The sequence below is a fragment of the Homo sapiens genome, chromosome 15 (assembly GCF_000001405.40).
Source record: "Homo sapiens chromosome 15, GRCh38.p14 Primary Assembly".
In the NCBI taxonomy this organism is placed as follows: Eukaryota; Metazoa; Chordata; class Mammalia; order Primates; family Hominidae; genus Homo; species Homo sapiens.
In genome coordinates this window covers 61,883,761-61,909,214 of record NC_000015.10, presented here as the reverse complement: position 1 = coordinate 61,909,214, position 25,454 = coordinate 61,883,761, and the positions used below count along the sequence as shown (strand labels likewise).

General features: G+C 36.1%; 1 protein-coding gene across 7 annotated transcripts in view; it reads left to right on the top strand.

Moving 5' to 3' along the window:
• Nucleotides 1–25,454, top strand: part of VPS13C (vacuolar protein sorting 13 homolog C) — a 208,059-nt gene that overhangs the window by 151,233 nt on the left and 31,372 nt on the right. For 5 of the 7 annotated variants that reach the window (XR_007064464.1, NM_017684.5, NM_020821.3 and 2 more), the window contains 4 exons: nt 90–223; nt 1,825–1,951; nt 18,815–19,050; nt 24,946–25,087. Coding sequence is in view for 6 of the 7 variants with exons in the window: in NM_017684.5 (NP_060154.3) it covers nt 90–223; nt 1,825–1,951; nt 18,815–19,050; nt 24,946–25,087 (639 nt within the window). In the remaining variant the exon portion in view is untranslated. Of the gene's footprint in view, nt 1–89; nt 224–1,824; nt 1,952–3,227; nt 3,347–18,814; nt 19,051–24,945; nt 25,088–25,454 lie in introns of those variants that run through there. The other 2 variants (XM_047432741.1, XM_011521713.4) reach the window with 2 other exon arrangements.

The window sequence follows — 25,454 nt, the reverse complement described above, 5'->3', positions numbered from 1 at the left end:
GCTTTTGTGTTTTACGTAATATTGAAATTCCATATGTAAGTGTAGATTAAACCAGTACATCAAACATACTTTTTTTTTTTCTACAATAGAATGGGGGTATCTTGGTGGATGTAAACACTGCCGAACATTCAACTGTCATAACTTTTTCTGATTACCATGAGGGATCTGCACCTGCCTTGATAATGAACCATACACCATGGGACATCCTCACATACAAACAGAGGTATGAGAAAAAAGGGTTAATGGGAAATACTTTTATTGGTTCATAGTAACTAATGGGAAACACTTTGGTTTCATATTCAAAATGTTTTTAGATTTTAGAAAGGTGATATGGAACACATGGTATTTATCTTTAATACCCTTACATGTTTTGAGATAACACTCTGTAAACACATTAATATTTCTGCAGCAAAACTGATGAATATTCACATCAAATGGGATAAATAGAAATTATTAATAGTTTCGTATCAATTCAGGTCAGGTTTTGCCGCCAAATGAGTTTTGATACCAAATTTCCAGAAAAATCTTTGGGCTTTTAGAGCTTTTTAAATTTCAAAATGGCAGATAAGGGAGTGAACCTGTTTAAGTATTCCCTTTCCTGGTAATCTGGTAACGCTCAGTGAACCTCTTCCTATAAATCTGTATTTAGTTTTTTTGGGTAGGGATAGTAGAAGGTTAAATGAGAAGACGATGAGTAGATAGTGGTGTTGAATGTATATCATTGGCTGATAGGAATTTCATTGTTCTTGCCTTTGCTGTCATTTGTTTTGGATGATGTCATTATTTAATGGTAGAGAATTTAAGCCCTTAAAGTATCGTATAATTTTATTTATAAAATTATATTTATATTAACATATGTATATATGTGTATATATTCATGCATATATACACACATATAAATGTATGTATATATGTAAATTTGTTAAAGATTTCCCTAGTCTTAATTCTAATGGAGTGAATCCAGTGAGAGACTTAAAAGTACAGATTAGGATTAAAACCTAGTTGGATTACTTTTTTTCTCCCAGTTCTCTGGAATATTTTTTGCATTAAATGGACAAATACTTCTTAAATTGTAATAATCAATTTTAAAATCTCCTGGGAGTCTTGTTAAGATGCAGATTTTGACTCAGTAGGTTTTGGATGGGACCCAGGACTTTGCCTTTTCCTGCAAGACCCCAGGTAATACTTATTCTGCCTGTTTACGGACCACACTTTGTGTAGTAACAGTGTGAACATAATTTTTTTGTTGCTGTGACCCATAATATATCTTAAGTATTGTATTTGTTAAAAAGCTTAGCTGGTCACAGTAATGCATACCTATAGTCACAGCTACTTGAGAGGCTTGGGTAGGAGCATCTCATGAGCCCAGGAGTTTGAGGCTGTAGTGCAATATGATCTTGCCTGTGAATGAACACTGCATTCCAGCCTGGGAAACAGGGAGACCCTGTCTTTAAAAAATATGTTTAAATTTAAGCACTGAATAGAAGTTCTTCTGCTACTAAACATATTTCCTCTTCACAGCCATTTCCACAGGTGGACCCTGATCTGGCAATCTGTTTACCTAATGAATTCCATTGCTATGATTCCACTTGGATCAATTCCGAGTGCATTGAAGCTTCAGAAAGGGCAATATTCTGTTTCCCCGAGCTTAAAAACCATGAGTTTATTAGATATTTTAGGGTACTTGTTTTTAGGTAGAGTTGTGTTTTATTAACCACAGCAATTTCGTAGGACTTCTGTGCTAATCCCTTCCTCAGTAAACTACAGGTTTGGGTTTCTTATCTCCAAGATATTCTGATTTTCTCTCTGTTCATTGTGTTTTAGTGGGTCACCAGAAGAAATGGTCTTGCTGCCAAGACAGGCTCGACTTTTTGCCTGGGCAGATCCTACTGGTACCAGAAAACTTACATGGACATATGCAGCAAATGTTGGGGAACATGATCTGTTAAAGGTATCTTTTGATGTGAATGAGTGCTATATGAGTTACCTGACAGTGAAGGAAGTAGAGAAGCTATCTTCACTGACTCCTTGTCCTAATTGAACTAAAAGTGAATTGGAAGTATTTCCAGAAAAAGTAGCTTTTGGACTTTAGATGGCAAATACTGTAGTTCAAACCAGTATATTACCTTAGCTCTATCAAAGTAATTTATTTACAATTTAAAAAATAGACCTGCTTTATCTTGCCTATGTAAAGCACCTTTTTAATTAATTTACCTATTTTAAAAGGAAGGAATTGTAAGACTAAGTTAAAAACAACTTTATTTTGAACATACCTATGCCACTTTTGGCTATGAGTTTTTAAAGCTTGTTTTCCTAAGCACAGCTATGTATTTTGTTAATTAATGAAGTCTGATAGTATGCAAATTATCGCATGTAAGAAATTTAGTGAAATATTTATCGAAACAATATTTAGGTAGCTGAGTTGATTAAATATGTTATTTTTTAGACTCTTAGCCTCTGAAAGGGCCCAAAGAATTCATATACCATCCTCCCATCTGATATAGGAATTGCTCCTGCATTAGTAATATATCATCCAGTTTCTGTATGAATAAAATCCATGATGAAAGAGTTTAAATAGTGTCATTGTCCATTGTTCACTTGTCCAATAATGCCAGCTGTTAAAAGGCTTTCTTGACTTTTGCTTTAAAATGGTAATTGGCCAGTAGTTACTGAATTATCCTCATTTCTTCTCTCCTCACATTTGATACTACTTAGCAACTGTAGCTCCCAGTAAGTAGCATGTAGATACTAGAGAGAAGGTAGCAATGACATTCTGGAGGAGGATATCAAGGTCTGTGTATAGAAGGAGATCCGGGAAGAATTCTGTTCACAGCATGGTCAGGGATTTCAGTTTTTAATGTTTCTCTTCTATTTGGTGTTAGAGAATGAGGCAGTAGGAAGAGAGGGTGATTCCACCTCAGTCAGCAGATAGTCTGCCACGTATTGAAAATTGAGCTATAAGCAAGGAAATCGTTTATGTCCTTGTCCACTCAGTTGATCAAAGAAGGGAGTTCTGCTTAGGCCCAAGTGGACATGACAGGGGAGTTCAAAGAAAATCATACATTGTTGGCAAACACTAGGTTTACACAGATCTTTCCTCATTTAAGTATGATAAACAGAAAAAACCCCAACATGGGCTTTATGAAAAAAATACTTCATTAGAAAAAGGTAGCATTATCCTGTTGATTCAGAAGGTAGTTATACCTCTGAAAATTTTTTTACTACAGGACCAGAAGAAGCATTTCGAAATGTATGCCTGGCATCCTCAACTAAGTTATAAAGACATGACAACTATGAAATAAGAGAAAGCAAGGTGAAATAAAAGATAAAGACAGCAAAATGAAGTGTAAGAGGAGAGGGGAAACTGTATTCTGTGCATACTATATATTTATATCCCATTTAATCCTAAATTTTATTAGAGAAATGACAAAGATTATATCTTTTTAAAAAAGCTATCAATTAGTAGAACTCAAATCAGTGAGAAAGGAATTTCAAAACAATGAGAAAATGAAAATAAGTAAAACTTTGCTGTTATAGTAAAAGAAAGAAACCTAAGAAAGTATATAATAAATGACAGATACATTTTATTGAGGACATATCATATATTAATGCTTTTTATATATTATCACTAATTCTTACGATAGGAATTTTGAACTGCTAGTTGGAATTCAAAATCAGATCTGTCTGACTTCAAAGTCTGTGAACTTTTTCTGCTAGACCATGCTTCCCATCAGTTATGTCAGTAAATGAAAATGGTTTAAATTCTATTAAAAGATAAAAACATTCAGATTAAATTACAACATAAGATTTAACTGTAAGTTTTTTACAAGACTTCTGTTTCAGCCAAGCTAACAGAAAATTATAACCATGAAGATAGATGGTAAAGATTTAACAAGCAAATGGAAGCAAAAAGAAAGTAAAGATGTTGATTTTAATTTCTTTCCTTTTAAAAATTCATACATAATAGTTGTACATTTTGGGGGATACCTGTGATATTTTGATACATACATAAAATGTGCAATAATCAAGTTGGAGTAATTGGCGTATCACCTGAAACATTTCTCTTTATGTTGGGAACATTTCAAATCTTCTCTTCTAGCAATTTTGAGCTACAGAATACATTATTGTTAACTATAGTAACCCTACTGTACTAGCTAACACAACAAGATGTTACTCCTTCTGACTATATTTTTGTACCCATTAACCAACTTCTCTTGTTCCCTCCAATCCCCTTCTCATCCTTTGGTAACCAACATCAACTCTCTATAAAGTAAAATACACTTTTTTTTTTTAGCTCCCACATATGAGTGAGAACATGTGCTATTTGTCTTTCTGTACCTGACTGACTTCACTTAACATAATGACCTCCAGTCCTATCCATATTGCTGCAAATGACAGGATTTCAGTCATTTTTATTACTGAATAATATTACATTCTGTATATATAGCACATTTTCTTTATCCATTCATCTATTGATGGACATTTAGGTTGGTTCCATATCTTAGCTATTGTGAATAGTGTTGCAATAAATATGGGACCTTCAATATTCTGATTTCCTTTCATTGGGATATATACCAAGCAGCGGAATTGCGGATTATAGTTCTGTTTTTAGTTTTTTGAGGAAACTCCATACTGTTTTCCATGTAGCTCTACTACTTTACATTCCCATCAACACTGTGCAAGTGTTTCCCTTTCTCCACTTCCATGCCAGCATCTCTGTCTTTTTTTTTTTTTTTAATTAAAGCCTCTAACTGGGGTGAGATAATCTCATTGTGGTTTTGACTTGTATTTCCCTGGTGTTTAGTGATGTTGAACATTGCTTTATATACATGTTTGCCATTGTATGTCTTCTTTTGAGATATGCCTCTTCAGATCTTTTGCCCGTTTTTAAATCACATTTTTTTTTTTTAAGGAATTCAAAACACTCCACCAAGCTTGTGGAGTGTTTTGAGTTCCTTATATTTTCTGGTTATTAATCTCTTATTAGACAGATAGTTTGCAAATAATTTCTCTCTTTCGGTTTGTTGTCTCTACTTTGTTGATTATTTCCTTTGCCGTGAAGCCTTTTAGCTTAATGTAATCCTATATGTTTGTTTTCACTTGTGTTGATTGTGCTTTTGAGGTGTTATCCAAAGTCTTTGCCTAGACCAGTGTCCTAAAGCATTTCCCCAATGTTTTCTTTAAATAGTTCTAAGGTATCAGGTCCTAGATTTAAGTCTTTAATCTATTTCGGTTTCATTTTTGCATATGGCAAGAGGTAGGGGTCTAGTTTAATTCTCCTGCATCATATGGTTATCCAGTTTTCCCAGCACCATTTGTTGAAGACACTGTCTTTTTCCAGTATATTCTCTTGCCGCCTTTGTTGAAGATGAGTTGGCTGTAAATGCATGGATTTATTTCCGGGTTCTCTATTTTGTTCCATTGGTCTGTTTTTATGCTACTGCCACGATGTTTTGGTTACTATAACTTTGGTATGTTTTGAAGTCAGTCAGTGTGATGTGTTCAGCTTTATTCTTTTTGCTCAGGATTACTTTGGCTATTCAGGTTCCATATGAATTTTAGGTTTTCTCTGTTTATGTGAATAATATCATTGGTATTTTGATAGGGATTGCATTGGTCTTGTAGATCGCTTTGGGTAGTAGAGACATTTTAACAATATTAAATTCTTATAAACCATGAATAAGGGATATCGTTCTATTTTTTGGTGTCCTATTTCATTTTTTTCATTAGTGTTTCATAGCTTTATACATTTTGGTCAAATCTTTTTCCTAGGTATTTTATATATTTTTTGTAGCTTTTGTAAATGGTATTGCTTTCTTGATTTCTTTTTTAGTTTGTTTGTTGTTGGCATAAAGCTATGCAGTTGATTTTTTTTTTTGGAGACAGGGTCTCGCTCTGTCACCTGGGCTGGAGTGCAGTGGTGTGATCATGGTTCACTCCAGCCTCAACCTCCCAGGCTCAAGTAATTCTCCCTTCAGTCTCTCGAATATCAGGGACTACAGTTGTGTACCACCAAGCCCAGCGTTTTTGTTTTTGTTTTTGTTTTTTTTCTGTAGAGACGGAGTTTCGCCATGTTGCCCAGGCTGGTCTCAAATTCCTGAGGTCAAGCGATTCACCTGCCTTGGCCTCTGAAAGTGCTAGGATTGCAGGCATGAGCCACTGTGCCCAGCCATTTGATTTTAATATATTGATTTTGCGTCCTGCAACTTTACCAAATTTATCCGTTTTAACAGGTTTTTTCTTTTTTTTTAATGTGTGTGGAGTCTTTAGGTTTTTCTAAATGTAATATGTTGTTTGTGAACGAGGATAATTTGACTTTTTTTTTTTTTTCAAATTTGGATGCCCTTTTTTTCTTTCGCTTGCCTGAGGGCTTTGACTAGGACTTCACTATGTGAAATAAAAATGGTGAAAGTGGGCATCTTTGTCTTGTTCTAGATCTTAGAGGAAAGGCTTTCAAATTTTCCTTCTTCGGTATGATGTTAGCTGTGGGTTTGTTATATATAGCCTTTATCATTTTGAGATACGTTCCTTCTGTGCCTAGTTTGTTGAGAACTTTTTTCATAAAGCAATACCAAATTTTGTCAAACGCTTTTTTAGCATCTGTTGAAATGATCACATGGTTTTTGTCCTTGATTCTATTAATGTCATGTGTCATGTTAATTTGCTTATGTTGAACCATCCTTGCATCCCTAGGATGAATCTCATTTGACCCTAGTGATGGATCTTTTTAATGTGTTACTGCATTCAGTTTGCTGGTATTTTGTTGAGGATTGTAGTTGTTGTTGTATCTTTGTCTGGTTTTAGTAATAGGTTAATGCTGGCCTTTGTAAAATGAGTTTAGAAGTATTCCCCGCTCTGCAGTTTTTTTTTTGAAGAGTTGGAGTAGAATGGTTATTAGTTCATTTTTTTTTAAACACTTTTAATTTTTTTTTTTACGTTTTTTTTCTTTTATTATTATACTTTAAGTTTTAGGGTACATGTGCACATTGTGCAGGTTAGTTACATATGTATACATGTGCCATGCTGGTGCGCTGCACCCACTAACTTGTCATCTAGCATTAGGTATATCTCCCAATGCTATCCCTCCCCCTCCCCCCACCCCACAACAGTCCCCAGAGTGTGATGTTCCCCTTCCTGTGTCCATGTGATCGCATTGTTCAGTTCCCACCTATGAGTGAGAATATGCTGTGTTTGGTTTTTAGTCCTTGTGATAGTTTGCTGAGAATGATGATTTCCAGTTTCATCCATGTCCCTACAAAGGACATGAACTCATCATTTTTTATGGCTGCATAGTATTTCATGGTGTATATGTGCCACATTTTCTTAATCCAGTCTATCATTGTTGGACATTTGGGTTGGTTCCGAGTCTTTGCTATTGTGAATAATTCCGCAATAAACATATGTGTGCATGTGTCTTTATAGCAGCATGATTTATAGTCCTTTGGGTATATACCCAGTAATGGGATGGCTGGGTCAAATGGTATTTCTAGTTCTAGATCCCTGAGGAATCGCCACACTGACTTCCACAATGGTTGAACTAGTTTACAGTCCCACCAACAGTGTAAAAGTGTTCCCATTTCTCCACATCCTCTCCAGCACCTGTTGTTTCCTGACTTTTTAATGATTGCCATTCTAACTGGTGTGAGATGGTATCTCATTGGGGTTTTGTCTTGGATTTCTCTGATGGCCAGTGATGATGAGCATTTTTTCATGTGTTTTTTGGCTGCATAAATGTCTTCTTTTGAGAAGTGTCTGTTCATGTCCTTTGCCCACTTTTTGATGGGGTTGTTTGTTTTTTTTCTTGTAAATTTGTTTGAGTTCATTGTAGATTCTGGATATTAGCCCTTTGTCAGATGAGTAGGTTGCGAAACTTTTCTCCCATTTTGTAGGTTGCCTGTTCACTCTGATGGTAGTTTCTTTTGCTGTGCAGAAGCTCTTTAGTTTAACTAGATCCCATTTGTCAATTTTGTCTTTTGTTGCCATTGCTTTTGGTGTTTTGGACATGAAGTCCTCGCCCATGCCTATGTCCTGAATGGTAATGTCTAGGTTTTCTTCTAGGGTTTTTATGGTTTTAGGTCTAACGTTTAAGTCTTTAATCCATCTTGAATTGATTTTTGTATAAGGTGTAAGGAAGGGATCCAGTTTCAGCTTTCTACATATGGCTAGCCAATTTTCCCAGCACCATTTATTAAATAGGGAATCCTTTCCCCATTGCTTGTTTTTGTCAGGTTTGTCAAAGATCAGATAGTTGTAGAAATGCGGCGTTATTTCTGAGGGCTCCGTTCTGTTCCATTGATCTTTATCTCTGTTTTGGTACCAGTACCATGCTGTTTTGGTTACTGTAGCCTTGTAGTATAGTTTGAAGTCAGGCAGTGTGATGCCTCCAGCTTTGTTCTTTTGGCTTAGGATTGACTTGGCAATGCGGGCTCTTTTTTGGTTCCATATGAACTTTAAAGTAGTTTTTTCCAATTCTGTGAAGAAAGGCATTGGTAGCTTGATGGGGATGGCATTGAATCTGTAAATTACCTTGGGCAGTATGGCCATTTTCACGATATTGATTCTTCCTACCCATGAGCATGGAATGTTCTTCCATTTGTTTGTATCCTCTTTTATTTCCTTGAGCAGTGGTTTGTAGTTCTCCTTGAAGAGGTCCTTCACATCCCTTGTAAGTTGGATTCCTAGGTATTTTATTCTCTTTGAATCAGTTGTGAATGGGAGTTCACTCATGATTTGGCTCTCTGTCTGTTGTTGGTGTATAAGAATACTTGTGATTTTTGTACATTGATTTTGTATCCTGAGACTTTGCTGAAGTTGCTTATCAGCTTAAGGAGATTTTGGGCTGAGACGGTGGGGTTTTCTAAATATACAATCATGTCGTCTGCAAACAGGGACAATTTGACTTCCTCTTTTCCTAATTGAATACCCTTTAGTTCCTTCTCCTGCCTGATTGCCCTGGCAAGAACTTCCAACACTATGTTGAATAGGAGTGGTGAGAGAGGGCATCCCTGTCTTGTGCCAGTTTTCAAAGGGAATGCTTCCAGTTTTTGCCCATTCAGTATGATATTGGCTGTGGGTTTGTCATAGATAGCTTTTATTATTTTGAAATACGTCCCATCAATACCTAATTTATTGAGAGTTTTTAGCATGAAGGGTTGTTGAATTTTGTCAAAGGCCTTTTCTGCATCTATTGAGACAATCATGTGGTTTTTGTCTTTGGCTCTGTTTATATGCTGGATTACATTTATTGATTTGTGTATATTTAACCAGCCTTGCATCCCAGGGATGAAGCCCACTTGATCATGGTGGATAAGCTTTTTGATGTGCTGCTGGATTCGTTTTGCCAGTATTTTATTCAGGATTTTTGCATCGATGTTCATCAAGGATATTGGTCTAAAATCCTCTTTTTTGGTTGTGTCTCTGCCCAGCTTTGGTATCAGAATGATGCTGGTCTCATAAAATAAGTTAGGGAGGATTCCCTCTTTTTCTGTTGATTGGAATAGTTTCAGAAGGAATGGTACCAGTTCGTCCTTGTACCTCTGGTAGAATTCGGCTGTGAATCCATCTGGTCCTGGACTCTTTTTGGTTGGTAAGCTATTGATTATTGCCACAATTTCAGATCCTGTTATTGGTCTATTCAGAGATTCAACTTCTTCCTGGTTTAGTCTTGGGAGAGTGTATGTGTCGAGGAATTTATCCATTTCTTCTAGATTTTCTAGTTTATTTGCATAGAGGTGTTTATAGTATAGTTTATTTGCGTAGAGGTAGTTTGTATTTGTGTGGGATCGGTGGTGATATCCCCTTTATCATTTTTTATTGCGTCTATTTGATTCTTCTCTCTTTTTTTCTTTATTAGTCTTGCTAGCAGTCTATCAATTTTGTTGATCCTTTCAAAAAACCAGCTCCTGGATTCATTAATTTTTTGAAGGGTTTTTTGTGTCTCTATTTCCTTCAGTTCTGCTCTGATTTTAGTTATTTCTTGCCTTCTGCTAGCTTTTGAATGTGTTTGCTCTTGCTTTTCTAGTTCTTTTAATTGTGATGTTAGGGTGTCAATTTTGGATCTTTCCTGCTTTCTCTTGTGGGCATTTAGTGCTATAAATTTCCCTCTACACACTGCTTTGAATGCGTCCCAGAGATTCTGGTATGTTGTGTCTTTGTTCTCGTTGGTTTCAAAGAACATCTTTATTTCTGCCTTCATTTCGTTATGTACCCAGTAGTCATTCAGGAGCAGGTTGTTCAGTTTCCATGTAGTTGAGCGGTTTTGAGTGAGATTCTTAATACTGAGTTCTAGTTTGATTGCACTGTGGTCTGAGAGATAGTTTGCTATAATTTCTGTTCTTTTACATTTGCTGAGGAGAGCTTTACTTCCAAGTATGTGGTCAATTTTGGAATAGGTGTGGTGTGGTGCTGAAAAAAATGTATATTCTGTTGATTTGGGGTGGAGAGTTCTGTAGATGTCTATTAGGTCCGCTTGGTGCAGAGCTGAGTTCAATTCCTGGGTATCCTTGTTGACTTTCTGTCTCGTTGATCTGTCTAATGTTGACAGTGGGGTGTTAAAGTCTCCCATTATTAATGTGTGGGAGTCTAAGTCTCTTTGTAGGTCACTCAGGACTTGCTTTATGAATCTGGGTGCTCCTGTGTTGGGTGCATATATATTTAGGAAAGTTAGCTCTTCTTGTTGAATTGATCCCTTTGCCATTATGTAATGGCCTTCTTTGTCTCTTTTGATCTTTGTTGGTTTAAAGTCTGTTTTATCAGAGACTAGGATTGCAACCCCTGCCTTTTTTTGTTTTCCATTTGCTTGGTAGATTTTCCTCCATCCTTTTATTTTGAGCCTATGTGTGTCTCTGCACGTGAGATGGGTTTCCTGAATACAGCACACTGATGGGTCTTGACTCTTTATCCAATTTGCCAGTCTGTGTCTTTTAATTGGAACATTTAGTCCATTTACATTTAAAGTTAATATTGTTATATGTGAATTTGATCCTGTCATTATGATGTTAGCTGGTGATTTTGCTCGTTAGTTGATGCAGTTTCTTCCTAGTCTCGATGGTCTTTACATTTTGGCATGATTTTGCAGCGGCTGGTACCGGTTCTTCCTTTCCATGTTTAGCGCTTCCTTCAGGAGCTCTTATAGGGCATGTCTGGTGGTGACAAAATCTCTCAGCATTTGCTTGTCTGTAAAGTATTTTATTTCTCGTTCACTTATGAAGCTTAGTTTGGCTGGATATGAAATTCTGGGTTGAAAATTCTTTTCTTCAAGAATGTTGAATATTGGCCCCCACTCTCTTCTGGCTTGTATGGTTTCTGCCGAGCGATCCGCTGTTAGTCTGATGGGCTTCCCTTTGTGGGTAACCCGACCTTTCTCTCTGGCTGCCCTTAACATTTTTTCCTTCATTGCAACTTTGGTGAATCTGACAATTATGTGTCTTGGAGTTGCTCTTCTCGAGGAGTATCTTTGTGGTGTTTTCTGTATTTCCTGTATCTGAACGTTGGCCTGTCTTACTAGATTGGGGAAGTTCTCCTGGATAATATCCTGCAGAGTGTTTTCCAACTTGGTTCCATTCTCCCCATCACTTTCAGGTACACCAATCAGACGTAGATTTAGTCTTTTCACATAGTCCCATATTTCTTGGAGGCTTTGCTCATTTCTTTTTACTCTTTTTTCTCTAAACTTCCTTTCTCGCTTCATATCATTCATTTCATCTTCCATCGCTGATACCCTTTCTTCCAGTTGATCGCATCGGCTCCTGAGGCTTCTGCATTCTTCACGTAGTTCTCGAGCCTTGGTTTTCAGCTCCATCAGTTCCTTTAATCACTTCTCTGTATTGGTTATTCTAGTTATACATTCTTCTAAATTTTTTTCAAAGTTTTCAACTTGTTTGCCTTTGATTTTAATGTCCTTCCGTAGCTCAGAGTAATTTGATCGTCTGAAGCCTTCTTCTCTTAGCTCATCAAAGTCATTCTCCATCCAGCTTTGTTCCGTTGCTGGTGAGGAACTGCATTCCTTTGGAGGAGGAGAGGTGCTCCGCTCTTTAGAGTTTCCAGTTTTTCTGTTCTGTTTTTTCCCCATCTTTGTGGTTTTATCTACTTTTGGTCTTTGATGATGGTGATGTACAGATGGGTTTTTGGTGTGGATGTCCTTTCTGTTTGTTAGTTTTCCTTCTAACAGACAGGACCCTCAGCTGCAGGTCTGTTGGAGTACCCTGCCGTGTGAGGTGTCACTGTGCCCCTGTTGGGGGGTGCCTCCCAGTTAGGCTGCTCGGGGGTCAGGGGTCAGGCACCCACTTGAGGAGGCAGTCTGCCCCTTCTCAGATCTCCAGCTGCATACTGGGAGAACCACTGCTCTCTTCAAAGCTGTCAGACAGGGACATTTAAGTCTGCAGAGGTTACTGCTGTCTTTTTGTTTGTCTGTGCCCTGCCCCCAGAGGTGGAGCCTACAGAGGCAGGCAGGCCTCCTTGAGCTGTGGTGGGCTACACCCAGTTCGAGCTTCCCAGCTGCTTTGTTTACCTAAGCAAGCCTGGGCAATGGCGGGCACCCCTCCCCCAGCCTCGCTGCCGCCTTGCAGTTTGATCTCAGACTGCTGTGCTAGCAATCAGCGAGACTCCGTGGGCGTAGGACCCTCCGAGCCAGGTGCGGGATATAATCTCGTGGTGCGCCGTTTTTTAAGCCCGTCGGAAAAGCGCAGTATTCAGGTGGGAGTGACCCGATTTTCCAGGTCCCGTCCGTCACCCCTTTCTTTGAGTAGGAAAGGGAACTCCCTGACCCCTTGCGCTTCCCGAGTGAGGCAATGCCTCACCCTGCTTCGGCTCGCGCACCATGCGTGCACCCACTGACCTGTGCCCACTGTCTGGCACTCCCTAGTGAGATGAACCTGGTACCTCAGATGGAAATGCAGAAATCACCCGTCTTCTGTGTCGCTCACGCTGTGAGCTGTAGACCGGAGCTGTTCCTATTCGGCCATCTTGGCTCCTCCCCCTTATTAGTTTATTTTTTAAGTGTTTGGTAGAATTCAGCAGTGAAGCCATCAGGTCCTTGGCTTTTCTTTGAGGGAAGACTTTTTATTATTGCTTTGATCTTGTTGCTTGTTACTGGTCTGCTCAGGCTTTATGTTTCTTTTAAAATAATGTTTAAAAATTGACACAATTGTACGTACTTATGATATTGTGCTATATCTGTAATATATACTGATTAGATCAGGGTAGTTAACATATTCATATCTCAAATATTTATCATTTCTTTGTGTTAGGAACATTCAATATCCTTTTTCTAGCTATATGAAACTATATAATAATATTGTTAACTGTAGTCATCCTATAATGCTATAGGACACTAGAACTGATTCCTCCTATCTTGCTGTAATTTTGTATCTCCTTTAAGAAATCTTTCCCTATCCGCCCTTCTTCCTATCCTTCCCAGCCTCTAGTATCTGCTGTTCTAATTTTTACTTTTATGAGACCAACTGTTTTTTAGCTACCACATATGAGTGAGAATGTGCAGTATTTAACTTTCTGTTCCTGGCTTATTTCACTTAACATGATGTCTTCCAATTAGGTTTTCTGTTTCTTCCAGGGTTCGTTATTAGCAGACTGTTTGTGTCCAGAAATTTATCTCTGTCTTCTGTGTTTTCCAGTTTTTTGGCAGATAGTTGTTCATAATAGTCTCTAATGATCCTTTTGTATTTCCTTGGTATCAACTGTTATAAGTCTCCTTATTCATGTCTGATTTTATTGATTTGAGGTCTTCTCTTTTTTTGTAGTCTAGCTAAAAGTTTGTCCATTTTATCTTTTCAAAAAACTTTTTGTTTCATTGATCTTTTGTATTTTTTTGTCTCAATTTTATTTATTTCTGCTCTGATCTTTATTATTTTTTCCTTCTACTAATTTTGGTTTTGGTTTATTCTTGCTTTTCTAGATTCTTAAGGTATACTGTTAGGTTGTTTATTTGAAATCTTTCTACTTTTTTGATATAGGCATTTATTGCTGTAAAATTCCCTCTTAGTGCTGCTTTTGCTGTATCCTGTAGATTTTGATATATTGTGTTTCCATTTTCATTTGTTTTAAGAAAATTTTTTATTTCCTTCTTAATTTCTTCATTGACTTATTGTTCAGGAACATATTTAATTTCTGTGTTTTTATACTTTACAAATTCCTGTTGTTATTGCTTTCTAGTTTTATTCCATTGTGGACAGAAAAGATACTTGATATAATTTTAACTTTTTTGAATTTTTTGAGACTTGTTTTGTGGCCTACCATATGGGCCATGTGCAGATGAGAAGAACGTGTATTCTGCAGCAGTCGGATGAAATGTTCTGTACATGTTTGTTAGGTCCATTTGGTCTAAAGTGTAGTTTAACTCCAGTGTTTCTTTCTTGATTTTCTGTCTGGATGATCTCTCTATTACTGAGAGTGGGGGTGTTGAGGTCCCCTATTAATATTGTATTCCAGTCTATCTCTTCCTTTAGATCTGTTATTATTTTCTTTATATATTTGGCTGCTCTGGTGTTGGGTACATATATTTACAACTGTTATATCCTCTTTCTGAATTGACCTCTTTATCATTATATAGTGACTTTGTCTCTTTTTGTAATCTTAGCCTTGAAATCTATTTTATTTGATGTAACTAAGCATAGCTACTCCTACTCTTTTTTTTTTCTTGGTTTCCATTTGTGTGGAATATCTTCTTCTATCCCTTCACGTTCACCCTATGTATGCCTTTGTAGTTGAAGTGTGTTTCTGGTAGACAACATATAGTTGGGCCATATTTTTTAATTTACCCAGCCACTCCATTTCTATTAATTGAAGAATTTAGTCTATTTACATTCATTATTATTATTGATAAGTAAGGACTTACTACTGCCATTTTGTTACAGGATTTCTGGGGTTTTTTTTTTTTCTGCTTTTTGTTTTGAGACGGAGTCTTGCTCTGTCACCCTGGCTGGAGTGCAGTGGTGCAATCTCGTCTCACTGCAACCTCCACCTCCTTGGTTCAAGCAATTCCCCTGCCTCAGCCTCCCTAGTAGCTGGGATTACAGGCATACGCCACCACGCCTAGCTAATTTTTTTGTATTTTTAGTAGAGATGGGGTTTCACCATGTTGGCCAGACTGGTCTCAAACTCTTGACCTCAGACAATCCGCCCACCTCGGCCTCCCAAAGTGCTAGGATTACAGGCATGAGCCACTGTGCCTGGCCTTTCTGATTCTTTTATAATGCCCCTCTTTCTTTCTTCTTTTCTTACTGACTTCCTTAGTGGTTAAGTGGTTTTTCTCTGACAGTATGTTTTTAGTTCATTGCTTTGCATTTTTAGTATATTTATTATTGGATTTTGCTTTGTGGTTACTATGAGGCTTACAAAAAACATCTTATAGACACAATACATTATTTTAAACAAATGACAACTTAACTTTGATCAGAAAGGAAAGCAAGGAAACCAAAAAGGAAAAACTAAAAAATGCTACACTTTTAAGTCCATCCCCCATACATCTTGGCATTCTGTTGTCTCAATTTATATCTTTTTTGTATTGCCTATTAAGAGGTTGTTGTAATTATTATTATTTTTGATAGATTTGTCTTTTAGTCTTCATACTAGATATATGAGTGGATTATACACCACAATTATGGTGTTAGATTATTCTCAATTTGTCTGTGTACTTAGTTTTACCAGTGAGTTATATGCCTCCAAATTTTTTTTTCATTTTAACATTGTTTTCTTTCATATCAAGTAACTCCTTTTATCATTTTTTGTAAGATGTGTCTAGAGGTAATGAATTCCTTCAGCTTCTGTTCATCTGATAAAAACTTTATCTCTCTGTCATGTTTGAAACAAAGCTTTGTTGGATACAATATTCTTGGTTGGCAGGGTTTTTCTTCCCCTTCAACACTTTGAGTATGTTGTCCCACTGCCTCCTGCAGGGCATGGTTTCCTGAGAAGTCAGTTGCCAGACAAATTGCAGCTTCTTTATATGTTATCTGCTTCTTTTCTTTTGCCACTTTTAGGGTCCTCTCTTTGTCATAGGCCCTTGAGAGTTTGATTATTATATGCCTTAGGGTAGTCTTCTTTGGATTGAATCCGTTTGGTCATCTGTGACCTTTACCTGTGTATTTCTATCTTTCTCCAATAGGGAAAGTATTTTCTTGTTAATTCTTTAATTAACTTTCTACCCCTTGCTCTTTCTCAACTCTCTCTTGACCACCAGTGACTCTTAGATTTGCTCTTTTGAGGTTATTCTCTATATTTTGCAGGCATTCTTTGTTCTTTTTTATTCTGTTTTCTCCTCTGTGTATTTTCCAATAGCCTGTCTTAGAGCTAACTGATTCCATCCTCTACTTGATCCAGTCTGCTGTTGAGAGCCTCTAATACATTTTTCAGTTCAGCAAATTTATTTCATCATTCCAGCATTTCTGTTTAATTTTATTATTTCAGTCTGTTTCAATTTCACTGATAAATTTCTTAATTGTTTTTCTGTGTTGCCTTGGAAGTTGCTGACTTTCCTAGAATTGCTCCTTTGAATTCTTGATCTGAGAACTCACACGTGGCTGTCTTATCAGAGTTTGTCACTGGCACTTTGCTTTGTCTGTTTGGGGAGGCCATGGTTCCCTGCTTGCTGTTGTTTCTTGTGGACATGCGTCTATGGCTTTACATTGAAGGATTATTTATTTATTCCAGTGTTTGTTCTCTGGCTTGTTTTGGTCTTTCTAGAATATGTTTGCTTAGAGGTCCTTTGCAGTTGCCTTTGGGTCCCCTTTATCCTAGATCACTGCCTCCTATTCAGCACTAGATGGTGGTATAATTGCTGGTTTGCCTCAGTTCTCTGAAACATTTGGCAGTACTGTCTCCAGTGGTGGGGAAGGGGTTGCATCTCAAAGGGGATATCCCAGCTATGTAGGAAGGCTGCCCAGGGTTCCTCCTCAGAAGACTTAGGGACTGTGCCTCCCACAGTGTTGTGCTGCTGAACAGCCACTCTGAATAGGCGTTTCCTTTGGCTGAAATAAAGAGCAGAAATTCTTGGGCTGGAGTTTTTAATCCTGCTTCTCCTCTTTGTCTGTAGCCTCCCTTGGGGGTTTTCTCTTCCTAAAGCACTTGTGATGCTTCCCATGGGCTGAGCCAGGAGTGGTTTTCCTGCAAGGGAGCCCAAGATGGTGAGGAAGCTGGCTTTCTGCTTTGATCTCACTTTATCCAGTGTAGAAATTGTGAGCTTAAGAGGAATTTCCTGCATGCAGTGCCAGGCAGATTCGGGGAGAGGCATTGTGGGTAGAGAAGTTCATTTCTGTTACCATCTGCGTGGAGCTTTTCACTTCTCTGTGGCTCCAGGAATTGTGTCAGCCTCAGGTTCAAGTTCTGGGATATTGCTGATGATAATCTTGGCACTAGAAGTTTATGTTTGGTTTTCTGTGGTAAAGAGTGAAGCCACATTGCTTCTACTCTTCCATTTTGGCGTTATCACCCTCTGTTGATTTTAATTTCTGACCAATTCAAAGCAAAATTATTAAATAGATAATGATAATATGACACAGAAGGAGTGATAGCCATAAACCTTCATGCAATGAATAGTATTGCATCAACATATAAAACTTAAAATGCTAGAAATTAACTGAAACACAATTACCTGGGGATATTTTATTGTACTTCACATGAAATAGATGAAAAACAAGAGTCAGATAATATTGGAATAATAACTGTGAACTAAGATACATAGCACATTTTGTAGTTTACAGATACAGAATTCACCTTCTTAATAGGTATGTTTGAAAATTTGATTTCTTATTAGAGTAAAAAAATTGGGCAGGCATCTTTGATCACATAATGTACCTTGAAAGTATTAGTAAATTTTGAACATTAGTGACACTCAACTATTCTTATACTCTTGGTAACTTCAGTTGTTTTTGTTTTTTTTTCTCCCCTGGAAAGCATGGAATGGAAAGTACATAGTAGGTACTCGTACTGCTTATTGAAATGAACTGTTCTATTTTCATTAAACCCAGAACAAAGTGGAATTTATTATTTTAACCTCTGAAAACACTGACCAAATCAAGCCTCATATTTTTAAGTGCTACATATAACCTTCACCAGTGTGATTTACATAAATATTTCCTATGTTATAGATCATGAAAATATAAAAATAAGCTAGGCTGGTTTTGTCTGAGGTTACATTTCTTTCTTTCTTTTTTGAGATGGAGTGTTGCTCTTGTTGCCTAGGCTGGAGTGCGATGACGCTATCTCAGCTCACTGTAACCTCTGTCTCCTGGGTTCAAGCAATTCTCGTGCCTCAGCCTCCTGAGTAGCTGGGATTACAGGTGCCCGCCACCATGCCTGGCTAATTTTTGTATTTTTAGTGGAGACGGGGTTTCACCATGTTGGCCAGGCTGGTCTCGAACTCCTGACCTCAGATGATTTGCCCGCTTCAGCCTCCAAAAGTGCTGGGATTATAGGCGTGAGCCACCACTCTGGGCTAAGGTTACATCTCTAATAAACTTCCGAACCATTCTGTTTTCCGGCTTGGAGACAAAGAATCATCTTATTGCATTGGTGCCACCAAAGGATCCTCTTGAATCCTGCTCTGTGCCCTTCAGCACTCAGTAGGTAATTCAGACTTAGGTATTAAAAAACTACGTACTATTAGTCTTCGTTTTTGAAAATAATTGGTGAGTATATTTTAAAATAGATTATAGCTTAATTTATGTCATTTTGATGGTTAGAATTTTTCAATTTATAGTAGTGCTTCTTAAACTTTTCTAATCTTTCTGTTATTATAGTTCAATTTTATATAATAACAAGTTACTATGTGTGGGTTTAATGAAGTCTTTCTTCTTCCCAGGATGGATGTGGACAGTTTCCATATGATGCAAACATCCAGATACACTGGGTATCATTTCTGGATGGGCGCCAGAGAGTTTTGCTTTTCACCGATGATGTTGCCTTGGTTTCCAAAGCACTGCAGGCAGAAGAAATGGAACAGGCTGATTATGAAATAACCTTGTCTCTCCACAGTCTTGGGCTTTCACTGGTTAACAATGAAAGCAAGCAGGAAGTTTCCTATATTGGGATAACCAGGTATGCAAGAAGGAAAATAAGACATCCTAAACCTTTAAAAGGCATTAAGTTCATAATAGCCGATTTGAAGAAAGTAAAAAGATACCTGGTTTGACTTTGGTATGCTGTATATTTATTCAGTAAAGCTTACTGAATAATTCTTTGAACTGTTAGTTGAAAAGCCCCGAGGATAGAAAGATGACTAAGATATTGTCTTTGTCTTCACAATACTCATTGTCAGTTGGTGGGGGAAAAAGTGGTTTGTTTCTTTCCTTGTTGTCCTTAATGTGTGCGTGTGTGTGTGTGTGTGTTTAATGAGTTACAAAAATACTGAGAAAAGGAAAGGATGTACAAAGAAGGATGTACATGCACAGTGGAAGTACAGAGGTACAAGTGACTAGTTTGTTTTGTGCAGTAGAGGTTAGAGAAACTGTCATGAGTTAGGGGGAAACCAACAGAAACAAATTGGAAAAAAGGTTCAGAGAGGAGGCTGTATTTGATATGAGTACATAATCTTTAATGGGTGGCCATTTAGAATTTTCTAATAGTTATGGGACCAGTTATTTTCTCCAGTTCTATTTATACCTGTATAAGAAAAATATTAGAGTATGTAGTTGATTTTAAAAATCACACTTAATTTGGTAAAAGACTTATTCTTTTTTAGAGGCTGATGGGTGGAATGGTTGACATGATACAAAATATAACCAGGATAGGATCTATCAAGAAGCACACGTTTGGGGAAAGAAAAGCAAATTAAGGAGAAAAGTAAATAGATAGTCTATGTAATGAACTTTGCACAACACCTGAGAAACTAATGGTTATAAATGGTATCATACATACCATTAATATAATGTTAATATATTTATATGTAGATAGACAATGCATTCTTTGTTATATATTTGAGTATTATATGATATTTTTAAACTAAACATGGAAATCATTTTTAGTTATATAGGTCCAGTTTTCCCTTTTGTTCTTCTATAAAACTTTTTACTTTAATATTGTATATGCTGTCCTGGTTTGTCAGGTTTACCTTTATTTATAAGAACATTAAAAAATTTATCTAAAATAACTTCATTACCTTTTTTATGACATGGTACACATTCAGTGAAATCTAGATTTTCAAAGGAAAAACACCAGTTACATAATTTTAAAAATCACTTTTTTTGAGCAGCCTTATGTCTAGAGAAAAACTGTAAAATAAAGAGTTTTCACGTACCCGCACTCTTGTTTCCCCTATTACTAACATCTTGCAGTAGTGTGGTACATTTGTTACTATTGATGAGCTAATATTGATACTACATTATTGTCTAACTCCATTATTATCTAACTTCTATATCTAACATTAAGTATTATTCTTTGTGTTGTACATTCTATGAGTTCTGACAAATGTGTAATAACCTGTATTCACCATTACAGTATTATATAAGATAGTTTCACTGCCCTAAAAGTCTCTCAGCTTCCTCCTGTTAATCCCTCCATTCCTCTTCTAAACCTTTGGAAACCGCTGTTCTTTTTATTGTCTCCAAAGTTTTTCTTTTTTCAGAATTTCATATAGTTGGAATCAAGCAGTATGTAACCTATTCAAATTAACTTCTTTCACTTAGCAATATGCTTTTAAGGTTCCTTTGTTTCTTTTCATGGCTTGACAGCTCATTTCTTTGTATTATTGAATAATAGTCCATTGTATGAATGGACTATTACTCCAGTTTGTTTATCCATTCAACTATTGAAGGAGATCTTGGTTGCTTCCACATTTTCGCAATGACAAATAAAGCTGTTATAAACATTCGTGTGCAAGTTTTTGTGTAGACATATGTTTCCTCTGCTTTGGGGTAAGTGCCAAGGAATATGATTGCTGGATCATATGATAAAAGTATGTTTAGTTTTGTAAGAAACATCAAATTATCTTACAAAGTGGTTGCATCATTTTTGCATTCCCACTAGCAATAAATGGGAGTTCCTGTTGCTCCACATCCTTGCCAAAATTTGGTATTGTCGGTGTTTTGGATTTTAGCTATTTTAATAAGGATATAGTAGTGTGTCATTGTTTTACTTTGCGGTTTTCTGATGATACATGATGTTGAGGATCTGTTCATATGCTTATTTGCCATCTGTATGTCTTCTTTCCTGAGCCACCTGTTCAAATCTTTTGTCCATTTTAAAATTAGGTTATTTTCTTAACGTTGAGTTTTAAGAGTTCTTTGTTTATTTTGGATACCAGTCTTTTATCAGATGTGTGTTTTGCAAATACTTTTTCCCAGTCTGTGGCTTATCTTTTTATTCTCTCAACTGCTTTTAACAGCAGAAGTTTTATATTTTACCTCAGACTTATCAATTCTCTTCCTTCATGGATTGTACTTTTGGTGTTGTATATAAGAAGTCTCCACTATACCGAAAGTTAGCTTTATTTCCTCCTATTATCTTCTAGGAGTTTTGTAATTTTGTGTTTTATATTTATTTATTTTTATATATGTATGTATGTATTTATTTTTGAGACAGAGTGTCACTCTGTTGCCCAGGCTGGAGTGCAGTGGTGTAATCACCGCTCACTGCAACCTCTGCCAACTATGCTCAAGCAATCCTCCCACCTCAGCCTCCTGAGTATCTGGGACTACAGGCACGTGCCACCATGCCAGGCTGATATTTTTTATTTCTTTGTGGAGATGGGAATTCACCATGTTGTCTAGGCTGATCTCAAACTTATATTTAAGTCTAATCCAGTTTATTTTTTGTGAAAGATGGAAGCTCTGTGTCTAGATTTGCTTTATTGCATATGGATGTCCAGGTGTTCCAACATAATTTGTTGAAAGACTTTGGTAGTTTCCTCACTTAGATCACATACACATTGTATTCGATTTTATTTATACCTAAGTGTTTGTTTCTTTGGTGCTAATGTAAATGGTATTCTGTTTTTATTTTAAATTTCAATTGTTTATTGCTGGCATGTAAGAAAGCAGTTGACTTGTATATTAACCTTATATTTTTGCAATCTTGTTATAATTGCTTATTAGTTACAAGGATTTTTTGGTTGATTCTTTGGGATTTTCTGTTTAGACAGTCATGTCAAATGTGAACATTGACACTTTATTTCTTCACTCCCAGCTTTATTTTCTTGTCTTATCACATCTTGGACTTCCAGTACTATGTTGAGGTGGGAATGGTTGAGAGTGGAAATACTTGCCTTGTTCCTAATCCTGGTGGGAAAGCATCTGGTTTCTCACTATGATGTTAGCTGTAAGTTTTTTGTAGGTGCTCTTTATCAAGTTGAGGAAGTTCTCCTTTAAGTTGTCTCAGAGTTTTTATCATAAATAATGTTGGATTTATATTGTCTGTAGTAGATATTTTATTCAGTGCCTTCATTGACTGGTATCCTCTAAATACATTTTATAGTTAGGACATTGTTAACACTATCATTGACTAATAGAAACAAGCTATGTGAAATAAAATATTATAGATTTTAGTATTCTCTAATTCAGGTGCCAGCAAAGTTTGGCCTATGAGCCAAATCTAACCCAATGCCTGTTTTTGTACAAACTGTATGAAATTCAGTTTGTTTCCCATAAATAATGTTTTGTTGGGACACAGTGATTTCTGTTCTTTTACATGGCTTCTTTGACATTGCTACTCAGTGCACTACAAATCACAGCATGTTTGAGTTAGTGCATATTGTTCTGCAGCATTTTTTATTTTACTGATATATATCCGTCATATCAAAACAAGAGAAAAGTGAACTTTGAATGTTCATCTTTTAGGGCATAATGAAATGTGTATGATCTTCTTATTAAAAAAAGCATCATTTTATTATGTTATGGAACTACAGCTCTGCTGAAGTAATGCAATATATGTTGACAGTATAGTTTCCAAACTAAGCACTTACCGTAACATTTTCAAATCACAGGAAAGCAATGGCCAGAAAAATTAGAAAATTTAAGGCAAAATATGTCATCACACGGAATATCTTAACAAATACAAAAAACAATAATGAGGCTGTAAGCAAAGTAAGTTTCTGAGTGACTTACTTGTTAGCTAAGCCAGGAAAGTCTTTTACCAATAGTGAGTTAATTGAATTGTGTCTGATTGCAGCAGCTAAAGAAATGTATCCAGAGAAAATGAACTCGTTTAAGGCCATTAGCCTTTCAGTAGGAACAGTTGCTTAAAGAATTGAAGACATTCAGAACAACCTCAATAGTCAATTACAAAAACAAGGCAAATGATATTGAGTGGTTTCCTTTGGCTCTTGATGAGTCAACAGATGTTACCAATACTGCTCAGTTATATATTTGAGAAGTCAGCACGGAGTCTGAAGTGACTAAAGGATTAACCTGTATAAATAGTTTGCCTAGGACAACTACAGGTGAGAATATTTTCAAACCAGCGAAAGAAATACTAATTCAGTACAACCTGAAGATAGATACAACTGATTATGGGAAAAATATGTGTGGAACAGAAAAAGACTTAGTTGGACAAATTCATAAAGCTAGTGAAAATGTAAAGCATTTAAAGCCTATTGTATTATTTGTGAGCAGGTACTTAGTGGAAAATATTTCAGTCCACCTTTTGTTACCAAACCATTAGTGTCAAATAGTTAACTTCATTAATTCATGTGGACTTAACTATCATCAGTTCTGTGAATTTTCACGAGAAGTAGAAGCTGAATGTTCTTACTTGTGTTACCACACAGCAGTTTGATGGGTTAGCAGCAGTAACTTTTTATTGTACTCTTTGAGTTCTGGGCCAGGATTAAAATTTTTTTGAACAAAAAGAACCACCCTCAACCACTATGACTAAACACCAATAATAGTGGCTTTGGAAATTAATTTTTGTTGCAGAATTGATAATGCAATAATAGTGGCTTTGGAAATTAGTTTTTGTTGCATAATTGCAGAATTGATGATGTTTTTTAATGAATTTCAAGCTAAAATTAGAAGACAAACAGTGCTTATGTGAAAAATTTATACTACAGTATAGTCAATTTTGAAGACAGCTAATGTTTGAATCTCAGGTAGTATCAAGATGTTCCATGTACTTCCTGTGCTGTCCAAGGTTAAAACATGAAGCAAAATCTCCACTTCCACATGTATTTGGAGAGGATATATTTTAAGGCCTGCAACTCCAGTTCCAGCAACATTTTTTCTGACCTCAGTGCAGGTGTAAGGAAATTTCCACATTTCAAAATTCATTTGTGCAATTGAGGAGCTTCTACCTAACTTTGAATTGGAAGTGATTGACCTGTAATGTATTAATATACTAAAAGGCAAATATCAAGAGAAGAATTTAATAGAATTTTATGAATGCCTTCCAAGTGATATATATGCTCAAGTAAAATAATAAATTCTCATTGACCAATATCAGTATTTGGCAGCACCTATCTGTATGAAATGGCATTTTTAAAGATGCTCATTACAGATTACCATTAATAGATGAACATTTACAATAGATTTTGGTAATAAATAACACTAAGTGACATGTTACTTTCACAAAAGAAGTTTTTTTTTTCATTAATAGACTTGTTTTTAAGAATTGCTCTTAATTATTTTATATTCTAAATTTCATCAATTAAAATTTATGGGAGTTTTTTCTCTCTTTGGTATCTAAGTTGCCTATCTAATAACTTGAATTTTGTCTCAGTCCAGAAAGCCTAAAATATTTACTATTTAATATATGACCCTCTGCAGAAAAAGTTTGCCAGTCCCTTAGTTGGTTGATGTCAACGTTGATAGAAAAAGTATTTTCTTGCCTGCCTCTTTTCTTTTTGTACTCTTGCAACACAGGTATAGTTCGTTATTTTAAGAAGTCCCTTATACCAATGTAATTTTCATAGGAAAATAATAGTTACAATAATCTGGAGTTGAATAAAGTTCCACAGACCTAAATACATATTGCTAATTTAATTTTTTTGTGTGAATTATTTAGTTCTGGTGTTGTTTGGGAGGTGAAACCAAAGCAGAAATGGAAGCCATTTAGTCAAAAGCAGATAATCTTATTGGAACAATCCTATCAGAAACATCAAATATCAAGAGACCATGGCTGGATTAAGCTAGATAATAATTTTGAGGTATACCAAAATTCTTTTGTTTTGATTTTTATATGTGTATTTTCTTGGTGGTGGTAGTAAGTAAAATTGTAATGCCCAAGTAAAGACATGTGCAGAAATGAACTTATTTATTGGTAGATAAACTTTTATTTCTTAATAGGATTGGCGTGTCTAATGATACACGTTAGTATATTTTTAATTAAAATATATTGTTATTTAATAATATACTGTGAAACAGGATTTAAACCTGTGTTTTAATAATTTTATTACATTTTTATATTTTTATAATTTTATTTACAAATCAGATAGTCTTATGGAACTTGTTTCCAGAAAGATTAGGGAGAAGTTAAGAATGCCTCATTGAAATTTTTGTTATATTTTGAATGAC